General features: G+C 54.2%; 1 protein-coding gene across 7 annotated transcripts in view; it reads right to left on the bottom strand.

The window, feature by feature from the left end:
* IQSEC3 (IQ motif and Sec7 domain ArfGEF 3) overlaps positions 1-13,117 on the bottom strand; it is a 111,689-nt gene that overhangs the window by 45,891 nt on the left and 52,681 nt on the right. For 5 of the 7 annotated variants that reach the window (NM_001170738.2, XM_011520958.3, XM_011520960.2 and 2 more), the window contains exon 3: positions 6,653-6,932. The exons of the other annotated variants lie outside the window; for them this stretch is intronic. In NM_001170738.2, the coding sequence (NP_001164209.1) occupies positions 6,653-6,932 (280 nt within the window). The remainder of the gene's footprint in view (positions 1-6,652; positions 6,933-13,117) is intronic. 7 annotated transcript variants of the gene reach the window in all.

The following is a 13,117-nucleotide window of genomic DNA, read 5'->3' as shown; positions in this document are numbered from 1 at the left end:
GAATGTCACCACGTAGGGCTCTTTTTCTTCCCACTTGGACCATGCCAGCAGCATCCTTACTATCTCTGTGTCCTTCTTACTCCCACCATCACCTTACACTGCAGAACCAGACCCAAGCTCTCAGACAGCAGGTGTCAACACAGGCTTTTCTTTGTTTGAGAACCATTGCCCCAAACAGATAAAAACGCTTCTTCCTGGTTTTCCAACCCTAACAATCTGGCTGGGCCACAAAGTCCTACTCCACAAAGTCCACATTGCTCAGCAGCTCCTGCCTGCTCTCCCCCGACCGCCCCCACGAGGCTCCCTGCTTGGGGACTCATTTGTGTTCTCTCCCAGCCTGCAATGCTCTCCCCAACCTCAACTCCCAGCCTCCCCTTTCCTCCAGGTAGAAATGTCCTCTTCTTCGAGACCTATCTCAAATGTGTCTCCTCCATGCAGCCCTCTCAATGCCCCGAACAGACGGGGTCTCCCTGCCTCGGGCCCCAATTTCTCTTTGACACTCAGTCTCCTCCACTAATCTTTGTGGCATTTCTCCAACCCATCCTTCCCTCCCTTTCCCTCCCCCAGGCTCCAACAGAGCATAAGTTATTCACGGCATCAAATATGTCTTAGTCATCCTGTCCAGCACCGAGCACCTTAACTGGCATGGAGCAACTGCTCCCTGAATAACACTGGAATTCAGTTCCGGGTTCACCATCGTGTGTCCTAACCCATTTATCAACCAACTCCCACTGATCCCAGAGTTGGGCCTGCCAGGCCCCCAACCTGCACTGTCCCCTACACCTTCCTCCCCACCCTCAATGCTCAGTGCCACCTTCCTCCCCACCCTCAATGCTCAGTGCCACCCCCTGCTCAGAGCTCTCGCTGCGGACTGTCCATCACAGGCAAGACATCTGTCTCTGCATCTCTTGTGCCCAGTGCTGTGCCAGACCTGTGGCTGAGGCTGAATAAGTGTTTGCAGACATGAACTAAACTGAATTCTCTCTTGTGACCCCAGGGAAATCAAATTCCAGACTCTTGTCCAGGCCGGGGCTTGGAACCCAGCACTCCATCCTTCCTCCCACCCTGGCATCCTGGCAGGACCTGGGGACTCAGTAATGGCCCAGGTCAGCTCCATCCATGACAGCGAGGCCCTCCCGTCTACCCCAATCCCGTTCTGAACCAGGGCCAGGTCAGAGAGCAGAGAGAGGTGCGGGAGGGTAGGCAGCCCCAGGGAGTGGGGGGTCTCTGGGCCTGTAGGCCAGGGAGCAGCTCTGCTCACTTCCCTCTAAACCCCAGGAACCAGGAGGAATGATGGCCTCGCCCCCTGCCAAGAGAGCAATTTCTCAGCTTCTGCCAGAAGAAGCAGCGGCAGGGGCGCGGGGGCCTCCGTCTCTCTAATGAGCCTCTCAGTGTTAATTAGAACGTGCCCCCTTCTTTCAGGTTGCTGTGGCAGCTGAGCCTGAAGAGGCCGCTGAAAGATGGCGGCCAAGCCAGAGGGTGGGGAGGAAGAGCCGCTAGCTGGGGGGCACAGTGCTGAGGAGCGGGGGCCAGGTGTGGGGAGGAAGAGCCGCTAGCTGGGGGGCACAGTGCTGAGGATCGCGGGGAGGTGTGGGGGGCTTCCAAGGGTTTGTTCCCATCCAAGACTTCCCAGTTGAGACCATGAAAGCACAGCATGTTGTGAGCCTCCAGAACTTGGCCTGGCGAGCCCGGGTGTGAGGCTGAGGAGCAGAGAGACTGGGGAAGCTGGTGCTTTGGGGGTGTTCAGAGAGGCCCACAGGAGCCTTGGGTCTGTGCTGGGCAGGGCTGTGGCCTCCTGCAAGGCAGGGGACTCATGCCTGCTCTGTGTGCCCTCCTCCCAGCCTGCTGTCTGGAATACAGCAAGTGCTTGACACGCAGGGCGTTGAGGCCTGCCTGGGAGTGGGCAGCCAGGTAGGCATGGGGGACACGCTATGGCTCAGCTAGTAGTGAGGTCATGAGACCCTCCAGTGGGGCTGCCCCAGGAGCTGGCTCTGATCCCAGGTTGGGCTGCCTGCCCTCCTCATGCTCCACAGACCCTGTGTGCCACTTCCATGGGGCCTGTTCCTCACTGTAATGCCAAGAGATGGTGGAAGGTACAGGGTCGAAACCATGGGCTGCGGAGTCCATGTCTTGGCTGCATTACTTCCTAGGACTGTGTCCTTGGGCAAGTTACTTAACATCACCATCACTCAGCCTTAATCTTCCCATTCCAGAAATGGGACGGTAATGGTGCCAATCTCACGGGGACGTTGTGCAGACCCGGGGAGATAACACATGGCAACCGTTAGCCTGGGCCTGACACAGAGCTAGTGCTCAGGTAGTAACACTGGTGCTGGCCCCGTGTCTGCCCACCACTGGGCTGTGGGCACCCTGATGACTAGGCCTGTATCTTTTGCATCATAGCATCTCCAGGCCTAGCACAGGGCCTGCGACAGAGCAGCTGTGCAGTGCTGTTCCCTGAACTGAATGAACCGGGGAGAGGGACAACCCATGGAGTGCCCTGTCCTCACCACTGTCCTCTGTAGGCTGGTGCCCTGGTGCTCTCTGTGCCCATGGTAGAAATCTCACTTTCAGCGTGGGAAGGGGCCAGGAGGCCCTCTGGTACAGCCTTTGGTTCACACATGAGGAAACCAAGATGCAAAGAGGGAAAGTGACTTAGAAACATAGCCACCACATCTTCCTGAAGAGGTGCCCCATAGTGAGGCTGGACCCTGAGGCTTGGGGTATGGGGATCTGTGGGGAGGGGCTGCTCTCCAGCAGAACATGGCTTCTGTCCAGGACCCGGCTCGGGGAGCAGGGCCCAGATTCTACTGACTGCAACTCCACAGCCCTCTGGCCTGAGCAGCCCAGAGGGCTCTGCAATTCAGATGGCTAAGAAGGGCTCCAGTCGCTCTGCAACAGGACACAAACTCCCTAGAGGGCTTGGAGGAATTTCAAAATGACACCTAGGCCCTCTATTCCTAAAGGGCTCCCCAAAGGGACCTGCATGCTCACTCCTTGGCCTGCCCTAGGTTGTATCCCCCAGGACTGCTGGGGTGGGGTGAGAGGGTCGAAGGCAGAGGGAGAAGGGGAGAAGAGCTGGCAGGAGGACCGTCTTGCTGTGCGACTTGTGACAGGTGCTGGGGAAGGGGCCAGCAGGGAGAACAGGAAGCTGGAGGGTAGGCCTCGTTTGCTCATTCACTTGTGCCTTCATTCCTATGTTCCTTCCCTGCTGAGCAGTTCCTAGGTGCCCAAGACTGTGCAAGGTGCAGGGCGGCAAAGATGGGCAAGGACAGGACAGTTCCCAGGGCACAGCTCCAGGAGCGCTGGCTCTTCACGTGGGCTATGCAGCACCCTGGAGGTGTCCCGAGCACCACCTGCTCAACTCCACACAGCCCTGAGAACAACATGGTCCATGCTGTTGAGCGGAACAGCTCCCACTCCCAGACAGCACAGAGGAGGCAACAGGCAATGGGTAAAAGCACGTGCCTCGGCTGCGACCTGAAGTATGAGCAGAAGTCTTCCAGATGCAGCAGATGGGGTCGGGGACAGGTGAGGAGAATCCCCAGGAGAGGAAACAAAGCCACACAAAAGCCCAGAGGTGAGGGTGGCTTGAGATTCGGGACAGCAAATAGGAACGGCTGGAACCCCCATGGGGCTGGGACTGTGGCAGGGAGCCTGGAGAGGCCTCTGTCCTGCACACCGTGAGGAGCCATCAGAGGCTTTCCCGAGGATCAGCGCGGTCAGAGGTGCACTTTAGGAAGATGATTCAGCTGCAATGTGGAGGTGAGGTTGGAAGGGACAGAGCTCAAAGAAGGGGAAGCACAGGAGGTCTCCCGGCGTGCAGGCAAGAGGAAGGATGGCCTGGCCTCCTGGGGCAGGGGCACTGGGGAAGGCAAGAGAGGGTGGGATTCGGGAACTGTTAAGAGGCAGCATCAGTGGGGCTTGGGGCTAGAGCAGAGGCGAAGGAAGGAGAACAGCCAAGGAAAACCGTCCTGGGGATCTGGACTGGCTGACAGAGGAGGCTTGGCGGGTCGGTGGGCTGGGGAGCTAAGATTGTCCAACACCCCTCCCAGGCCATGGAACACGGGATTCAGTGTGGCTGGCGGAATCACTGGGTTGGAATATCAAGTGTTAGATCTCAAAGAGACCTAAGGCAGAGTCAGTTCCTGGCGCCATGCTGTATACCCATCCCATCCCCCTTTATGTCACTAAGTGATCATTTCCCGTCTCTTATCCTTCCAGCAGCTTCTTCGCCAGGCACTGCATTAAGCACTGAGAATATAATGAGGAACAAGTCATGCACCTGCCTTCAAGGAGGGGGTCAAGCAAACAGGAAATGCTGACACAGGGCTGAAGGGCTGTGACGGGGACACCCGGGCCCTGTGGGATGACTGAGAGGGACACCCAGTGCAGGCTTGGGAGGCAGGGAAAACTGCCTGAGAGGAGGAAGAGGTACCTAAAGCAAGTACTAAAGCAAGAGAAGGCCAAGTGCAGGGGTGTGGAGGGGAGCGGAAACTTCAGAGATTGAGGCCAAGGGAAGAGCCTGTGAAGTCCCAGACATAGGAGGCAGCTGAGGCCAGAGAAGTCAAGCAACTTGCCCAAGGCCATACAGCTCATGGCAGAAGAGAGAGGAGTCGAGTTCAGTCTCCTATAGATGTGTGCCATGTTCAACAAAAGCCAAAGTTGACAAATGGGATCTAATTAAACTAAAGAGCTCCTGCACAGCAAAAGAAACTACCATCAGAGTGAACAGGCAACCTACAAAATGGGAGAAAATTTTCGCAACCTACTCATCTGACAAAGGGCTAATATCCAGAATCTACAATGAACTCAAACAAATTTACAAGAAAAAAACAAACAACCCCATCAAAAAGTGGGCAAAGGACATGAACAGACACTTCTCAAAAAGTGGGCGAAGGGCCTGAATGTCTTATGCTAGTGCTGTGGGGTTTTCGAAGCTGGGAGCAGAATTTTAGATTTTTCCACATTTCATCCGACTTTTTTTTTTTCATTAAAACCATCCTTCTGTCCTGATGAGGTGTTTTTTGTTTTGTTTTGTTTTGTTTTGAGACAGAGTCTCACTCTGTCGCCCAGGCTGGAGTGCTGTGGTGCAATCTTGGCTCACTGCAACCTCCGCCTCCCGCATTCAAGGAATTCTGCCTCAGCCTCCTGAGTAGCTGGGATTACAGGCATGCGCCACCACGCCTGGCTAATTTTTGTATTTTTAGTACAGACAGGGTTTCACCATATTGGGCGGGCTGGTCTCAAACTCCTGGCCTCGTGATCCACCCGCCTTGGCCTCCCAAAGTGCTGGGATTACAGGTATGAGCCACCACGCCTGGCCCCTGATGAGGTTTTTACAAAGTCTGGGATGCTATCACCAAGGTATCAGCTGTTCTCTTTCAGCTTTATGTCATCAGAAAGCCAGGTGAATGTAACTTGTATGCCTCAAATTGGTGCCTTATCAGTGACCTGGACAGCATGTCCACTCAACTCCCTGGGATTTTTTTTGATGAATATTTTTTGGATAATTCGGTTTGAGAACAACCCTCCTTACTATATTGTTAGTAATCCACACATTCCTGGCATGTGCACATAGGGTATCTTGGGGGATTTGGTCAAACACTTTACTGATGTGCTGCCTACAGCTGGCCTGAGCCAGGATATGAGCTTGGCATCAATGCCAAGAGAGGAAGGAGGTTAGTTTGGCTTGACTCAGTCTTAGTGGCCTTCCCACTAGCTTCCTTTCTGAAGATACCTTGCCTATTGGGTTGAAGAATTGTTCTCTAGAACCTACACATTTTGGGGCAGAAGGGACCTTGGAGGTGATTCAAAGTTAATTCTCATTTTTTTGCAGATGAGGAAACGAATGCCCAGAGGGTTTAACTGGCAACTCCCAAAGTCACTGAGTTCATAGGAGGAAGAGCGAGGACTGGATCCCATGTCTACATCTCCAAGTTCAAAGCTCTTTCCTTAACAGTATCACACCATCACACCTTTCTCTAAGCGCACACACACACACACACACACACACACACCTTCCATCAAGACTCTTGTCTGCCAAGACAAACTGAGGCATTATCTTTTTTGGGGGTTCAATGGGGGCCCCACAATTGGCCACTTTCTCTTCCTGAATGGAAAATGGAGGCCCAGGCCCCTCCATGGAATCTGTTCTCCAATAGAGGAGCTTTGGACTCCCCCAGTCTGGACTGATCTTGGGAATCCTGTCTGCTTCGAGGAGACCATTGTCTTTGTGCCTCGTTTGTGCCTGTGGGTGCCTAACACCGGCTCCCTTGGTGGGCGTGGAAGCTGGACTATGGCCTCTAAGCAGCAGATGGAGGTGGGGACACCCCAGAGAACAGTGGGCTCCTTGCCTAGTGGTCAGTGGGGCGGTGGAGGCTTGCTGAGCACTGTGTGAGGAGCAGAGCCCCTGGACGTGCTGCCCAAGGGCCTGGCATTGCGAGGGTATGAGCCCTGCCATGGTAGAAGGCAGAGGCCTGTGGCTGGTCCAGGGAAGGGCAAACTAGGTCGCTCAATGCAGGAGAACTGTGGCAAAAGAGGTGTGCCTGTAGCGGAGGGGACCCAGCGGGGATATCCCTGGTACCCTCGACAGCCCCCAAAGCAGGGCCCCTTCACCACCCTCCCCGCCCCCCTAGGAGGCCCTGGGTACCTGTTTATTCTTTAGGTCAAGGGAGAGTTCGTAATCGGAGGCGGCAGGGGCGTGGGGGCACAGCGCCGTCGCCAGGGCAGGCTGCTGCCGGCCGGGGGAGGCCTTGTGCTGGGGGCCAGCCCTTGGGGAGGCAGCCCCTGCCCCCGGCCGCTCCTCCTCCTCCTGCAGCTCCTGGGCTTGAGCCTTCGGGGCATGGGCACTGGGTCTGCCGGCTGCCACCGCCGCCGCTGCCACCACGGAGTCCTCCATGCCCCCACCGGCCTGGGTGCAGGAGCCATCACTGTGAACAGAAGGCAACGGTGCTCGGTTGGGGGAGAGGGCGACAGGGTGCGTGTGGATGTGGGGGTCGGGGAGAGAAGCTAGGCACTCTGGCCTGCCTTTCCTGTGGCAAGGACTGGAGGGGGTGTCTTTCACAGTCTCCTCTAGGGAGGGGCTACCATGGCAGGGATGAGCCCTGGGCACGGAGAAGAACCCGCACCTGGGGAGGCAGCTCAGACAGAGGGAAGGGGCAGCTATGGCCAGGGCTCAGGAGCCTCTGCTTAGAAGCAGTATGGCAGAGCGGTGCATCTGGGCTCTGCCTCTTACGAGCTGTGTGACCCTGAGCAGGTCACTCAGCCTCATTGCACCTCTGTTTCTCCATCTATAAAATGGGCACAGTAACAGTACCTACCTCACAGGGATACTGGCGGCTGAAGTTACTTACAACTCTTTAAGCTGTGCCTGAGTCATGGTGACTGCTACATGTGTTACCTATTGTAAGTATCGGTGGCCCGGCTCCTTGGGCACAGGCTCAGGTGGCTGGGGAAGCTGATCTACACTAAGCCAGCTCATCTTTAGACTGACCAAATGAGTCTGGAGGAGGCAGGGTGCCTGGCCTGGCTTGGGCATAAGCCTTTCCAGGGGGGTGGACTCCAGGTGTGGGGGCTGCGGCTGTGAAGAGGAGGCTTCCTGCCCTGCTGGGTTTAGAAAACACCTGCTCCTCCCTGACCCATCCTCTGTTCCCCGGGAGCCACAGCAGGCTGAGCCATGGCTGCAGCCCTCCTGCCTACTCTAAGAAGACACCTTGCTGCCTGGAGCAGACATGGTCCAGCCTGCTTTGTAGAGTTGGTTCCCTCAGATTGCTTCCTTCCCCACTAGCCTCCAAGTTCTGCCCCTCCCTTGAGGCCCAGTGCTAAGCCACCTCCTCCATGAGGCCTTCCTGGACGACTGCAGCTTTCACTGCTGTGTCTCCTGGAACACTAGGAGCTGTCCTTAGAGAGTCACTGTCTATTTCCCAGAGGAGGAGAGTCATCGTGGTTAACACCATGGCCTCAAATTCAAGCTCTACGACTGTGTGGCTTTGGGCAACTGGCTTTTCCTCTGAGTCTTGGTTCCCTTGTCCTAATTCCTACCTTAGGAGGTCCTAGTTCCTACCTTAGGAGGTTACAGTGAGGAAGAAAGGAGGCAGCAGAGGTCAGGTGCTTAGCACAGAGTATGTGCTCAGTAAATAAACTTTCTTTTTCTTTTCTTTTTTTTTTTTTTTTGAGATGGAGTTTCACTCTTGTTGCCCAGGCTGGAGTGCAATGGTGAGATCTTGGCTCACTGCAACCTCCACCTCCTGGATTCAAGTGATTCTCCTGCCTCAGCTTCCCGAGTGGCTGGGATTACAGGCATGCACCACCACGCCCAGCTAATTTTTTTGTATTTTTAGCAGAGACAGGGTTTCACCATGTCAGCCAGGCTGGTCTCGAACTCCTGACCTCAGGTGATCCACCCGCCTCAGCCTCCCAAAGCGCTAGGATTACAGGTGTGAGCCACTGTGCCCGGCCCAGTAAATAAACTCTTATTTCCCCAGCTATCCCTTCCTAGAAGCCAGGGCCTATGTGTTATTTCATTACGTCCCCCAGCCCCTTCATGCTGGGCAAATGCTGAGTGCTTAGTCAACACTTGTTGATGGTGAACTGAGGAGAACCCAGGGGCCACGGGGATGGCTCTACAGTGGACAGTGACAGAAAATCAGGACTGGAAGGGACCTCAAGGTCATCTAATGCAGCCTCCCAACCTCCCCATTTTTATAAATGAGGAACAGGGGCCCAGGGTGGTGGGGTGGCCCTGGTGCAGGACAGCTGCAACCTAAGGACTTATGTCTTCCAAGACTTTGCCACCATGAAAGATGGGCCAAATGACACCAGAGGAGGGACCTCTTCCTGCGGCTTCCACTGGACCTTAGGGTGCAGAGAGGTGTTCCTCCTGGTGCTTCCTCCCAGCCAAGGGTGGGGTTGAGAATCTCCCTTCTCTCAATCTCCATCTGCCCTCCCAGCACTCTCCTGCACCTCTGGCAGATAAAGGAGTGCTTGCTGGCTGGCCCTGGCCGTGAAAAATCTTCATTGCTGCTGCCTTTTTCTATGTCCACCATTTCTTCTGTGGCCACCAATCAAGCTGCATGGCTCAATATAGCTCTAGATGTCTTTTTTAAAATTATTATTTATTTATTTTTGAGCCAGTGTCTCACTCACCCAGGCTGGAGTGCAGTGGCTCAATCACAGCTCACTGCAGCCTCAACCTCCTGGGATCAAGCAATCCTCCCACCTCAGCCTACTGAGTACCTGGGACTCCAGGTGGGTACGCACCACCACACCGGGCTACAGGTGGGTACGCACCACCATACCGGGCAAATTTTTAAATTTTTTTTGTAGAGACAGGGTCCCACTATGTTGCCCAGTCTAGTCTTGAACTCCTGGGCTCGAATGATTGTCCCTTCTCAGCCTCCCAAAGTGCTGGGATTGCAGGCATGAGCCAGCGTGCCCAGCCTCTAGACATCTTTGATATGTTTTTCACTAGTGTCACTGGGAAGTTCTTTTTAAGCTCTAACTTCAACCTCTCTTGCTGTATTACCTGACATCTCTTCCCCTGGAGCACGTGGAAATAGCCCCTTCCCACCACAGCACAGCCTGTGTCCAGGGCCTGCCGGGCAGCATACAGTTTTACTCATCTTTCCTCCAGATTGTCCTTGGCACTGATGCCCAGGATCTCTCTACCCTAAAAGGTTTTCAAGACTCTTTAGGGAACTGGTGGCTACTCAAGGGTCCAGACACCTTTAATACCAGCCCTCTGCTTTCTTTGATTGCTGGAATGTGCTTGGCAAGAGGTGCTGGGTGCCGACGTCCCTTGATGGCAGCACTCGGCCAATGACAACGGGGTTGTTGCATAAATGCCCCAGCTTCCCTGTCCCTTGCACGGGACAACTCTGAGGCACACCCTATACCATCTCCCTAAGTCCCCAGTGGGATCGAGCCCCAGTGGCCCAAAGCAGTCACTTGATAATTAATGAACTCTGCCATGGCTTCATTCTCTTCTGTGTTTCATTTCCCTACTCCTCTACAGCCCTTTCCTGGGGTCACCTTGTCCCAAATAAACTACTTGTGATAAAACAAAACAAATTTTAAAAAATAGCCTTGTTGTGGGCCTTTGTTCATGGGCCACCCCTCACACACAATCTCTCTCTCACATATACTCATGTACACACACACTCACGCACACACAATGCTTCTAACTAGCTCTGTGGCTTTGGGCAATTTGTGTCCTCCTCCTGGGCCAGTCTCCTCATCTGTTCCACGGAGGGAGCTTGCTCTTCTCTAGGGACCCTTCCTGCTTGGACACTCTAGGAGCTTGAATCCCAGGGCAGAGGCCGGCCTATCAAGGCCCACTGGCCCCAAGGTTCCAGGCTCTCTGGCTGGTGGACCCAGCTCCACCTTGCCCATCTCCGTGCTCGGGGACCTGAGAGACTGGGGCCCTCTCAGGTATACAATGAAAAAGTGTTGGAAAGGGAACCCCTATCCTTGCCTGCCTTCCATAGACTTACCTAGAAGACCGTGTGGTGGAAGGTGGCCACAAAACCCCTGGACTGTTCTCAACGTGGCAATGTTGAAGATAACATCGTGGAGGGCAAAGAACATACACGGCTTTGGTGTCAGGGAGACCTGGGTTAGAATCCCGGCTCTGCTACTTACTATGTGACTTGGGCAAGTTATCCTAATAACAACTTTTCAAGGTTGCTGTCAGGAAAAAATAAAGCACACACAGCACCTAGGACAGCGCCCGGAACACAGTAGACCCTAATACAGGGTGACGGCGATGGCGGCTGTTTTCTGAGCTAGAATCGTATGGCATGGAGTCCCAAAGGAGTCCCCAGAAAAATGAAATGAAGAATTCTGTAGCGGGGGGGTGTTCTCAACATTTAGCCCCCTTGTCAACCTTCATGGAACTGAAAAAGTAGGGTTTTCCCACTATTCCCCATGGCCTTCCCCAGCCTTCCAAATGGACAGGCTTTCTGGAGGCTTCCTCCTACCCCGTTCCAGCCACTGGAGCAGCAAACAGCGAAAGGGCCTTGGTCTTGGGTGTCACCAACACATGGGACCCATGATGTGGGGATTCCTGGGTGGGCATTTGTCAGTGTGGATTTGAGCTTTGGTGCTTTGCCAGGGCACAGCAGAGGCCTGAGTCCTTACACCCTCTCTTTGGTGGCTGAGCATCAAGAGCATGTCCTCAGCCTCTGTTTTCCTCTGCACTCCATCTACAAATAAGTCTGAGGAAGAGGCTGGAATCTTCACCTTAGGCTGTCATAGTGGAAGGACCATCTATTTAACTTGAAGGCCATCTACTTCAATCCAGTCTCTTATGGAACTGGAAGCCCATCGCTCTAGCTCCCAGAACATCTCTCCTCTCCTTCCAAGACACAGGCTGTGTCTCTCCAGCTTCCACAGTCTGCAGCTGTCATCCCTAGTGGGTCAGATTTCAGGCAGCCTGGCCCTTCGACAGGAAGTATGTGGATGGGATTCTCTCTGGGACCTGAGCAGCTTCTTAAAGGCCCTTCCCAGAGCACTGGAGGGGGGTCCTGGGGCTCTCCACTCTCTTAGGCTGCAGAAACATTCCGAGTGGCAGTGCGCTAGCCGGGAGAAAACGTGAGGTCACTGCTGGTATATGAGCGATGCTGGTCACAGGATTACTCCCTGGGCTGGGGCACCCATTTGAGAAGCCAAAAGTAGAACGTGGGTGGCACCAAGATGAAGGGGTCCTTCAGAAAGCTTTCCACAGAAAGCTTTGATGTGTTCACATGACATTAGGCTGATACACACAGGGCCCAGTGCATCAACAGTCATTCCATGGATGAGAGCAGGATTTGAGTATGGGAAGTGAACATCTTTGAGAAAGTAGGGAAACAGGGCCATCGCTCATTCTCAGAGGAATATCACATGTGCCAAAGAGCAGAATGACCTGTGTGTTGGAACAGAACAACATCACATCCGAGGGTCACTCAGGTGGGAAGCTGGCTTATGCTTAGAGGTATGCTAGGCACCTGCTGAGCATGCCTGGTCCTGGCACACAGATGGTGCCCTGGGGTTCCAGTGGCCACCACAGCCTGTCTATCCTCAGAGCTGATTTCCGCAAGGCCAACCCTCTGCCCAAACCCGTCAGTGACTCCACAATACTGGTGGGATAAAGTCCATTCCCAATCTTACTCCAATCTCCCTTTCTACCCTCATCCCCACCGAGTGACCTGTCCACTCCGTCCACACTGATACTTTTGCCAGATCTGCCGAACCCTCTCAGGCCACCATCCCGCTTTATGATTTCCTTCTGCTGGAGATGCCTTCCATCCACTCCTTTCTCTGCATCGTCACCTCTTTCAGGAATCGCTCACTTCCCCAGGAGGAGTCAGTCCCACCCTCCTCTATGCTCTAACAATTCTTGGTACTTGCCTGTATTTCAGCAATGACCACTTTGTGCTTTAATTATTCACTGATGTGTCTCTCTCCTCCACCAGACGGTGCCATGTGCACCTTTTTATCACAGGTACTTATTATAGGTGGTTGGCTCATAAGATGTGTGCAATAAATGTTAAATGGGTGGATGGATGGATGGATAGGTAGATATTATTTATTCTCCACTACTTTTCCAAGGGCAGAAATGCTGGGCTGGGCTTGGTGATGTGCCACCCAGACCCTCCTTCAAGGGAGGACTTCTCGCTCAGCTGCTGGGAGCACTGTGGAGAGTGCCTTTAGCTGTCAGCCCCATCAGCCCCACCAAAGATTGGCTCAGCTACAGAGAGCTACCTGGCCCAAAGTCACATCCTTCCAAGGGCTGTCCACACGCAGGCACCAATTTCAGTGGGGATGTAAAGGCTCACCATTCTTACCCAACATGGGCTGAGGTTGATGTGCCACGTGGGATTGGCCAAGGCTGCTGCTGGGCTTTTGCGGTAGACTCTGCCCCATGCTGTGTGCCTCCCCTCCCTTCCATGGGTGTTGATCCCAAGTGCATCACCTGGTAAAAAGTCAACATTCTGAACTCGAGTCTGCTTCCTCAAGAACTGAATCCCCCTGGGAGCCTCAGCCTTTCTTTCTCCTTTCTTTCTCTTGGTAGCCAGGATTACCCTGGTCTCTCTGCCCCCAGATCTGTGGAACTTTTCTGGGTTCCAGATACCTT

This window comes from Homo sapiens, chromosome 12, assembly GCF_000001405.40.
Source record: "Homo sapiens chromosome 12, GRCh38.p14 Primary Assembly".
In the NCBI taxonomy this organism is placed as follows: domain Eukaryota; kingdom Metazoa; phylum Chordata; class Mammalia; order Primates; family Hominidae; genus Homo; species Homo sapiens.
The sequence above is the reverse complement of the archived record's forward strand: the minus strand, read 5'-3'. Positions and strand labels throughout refer to the sequence as shown.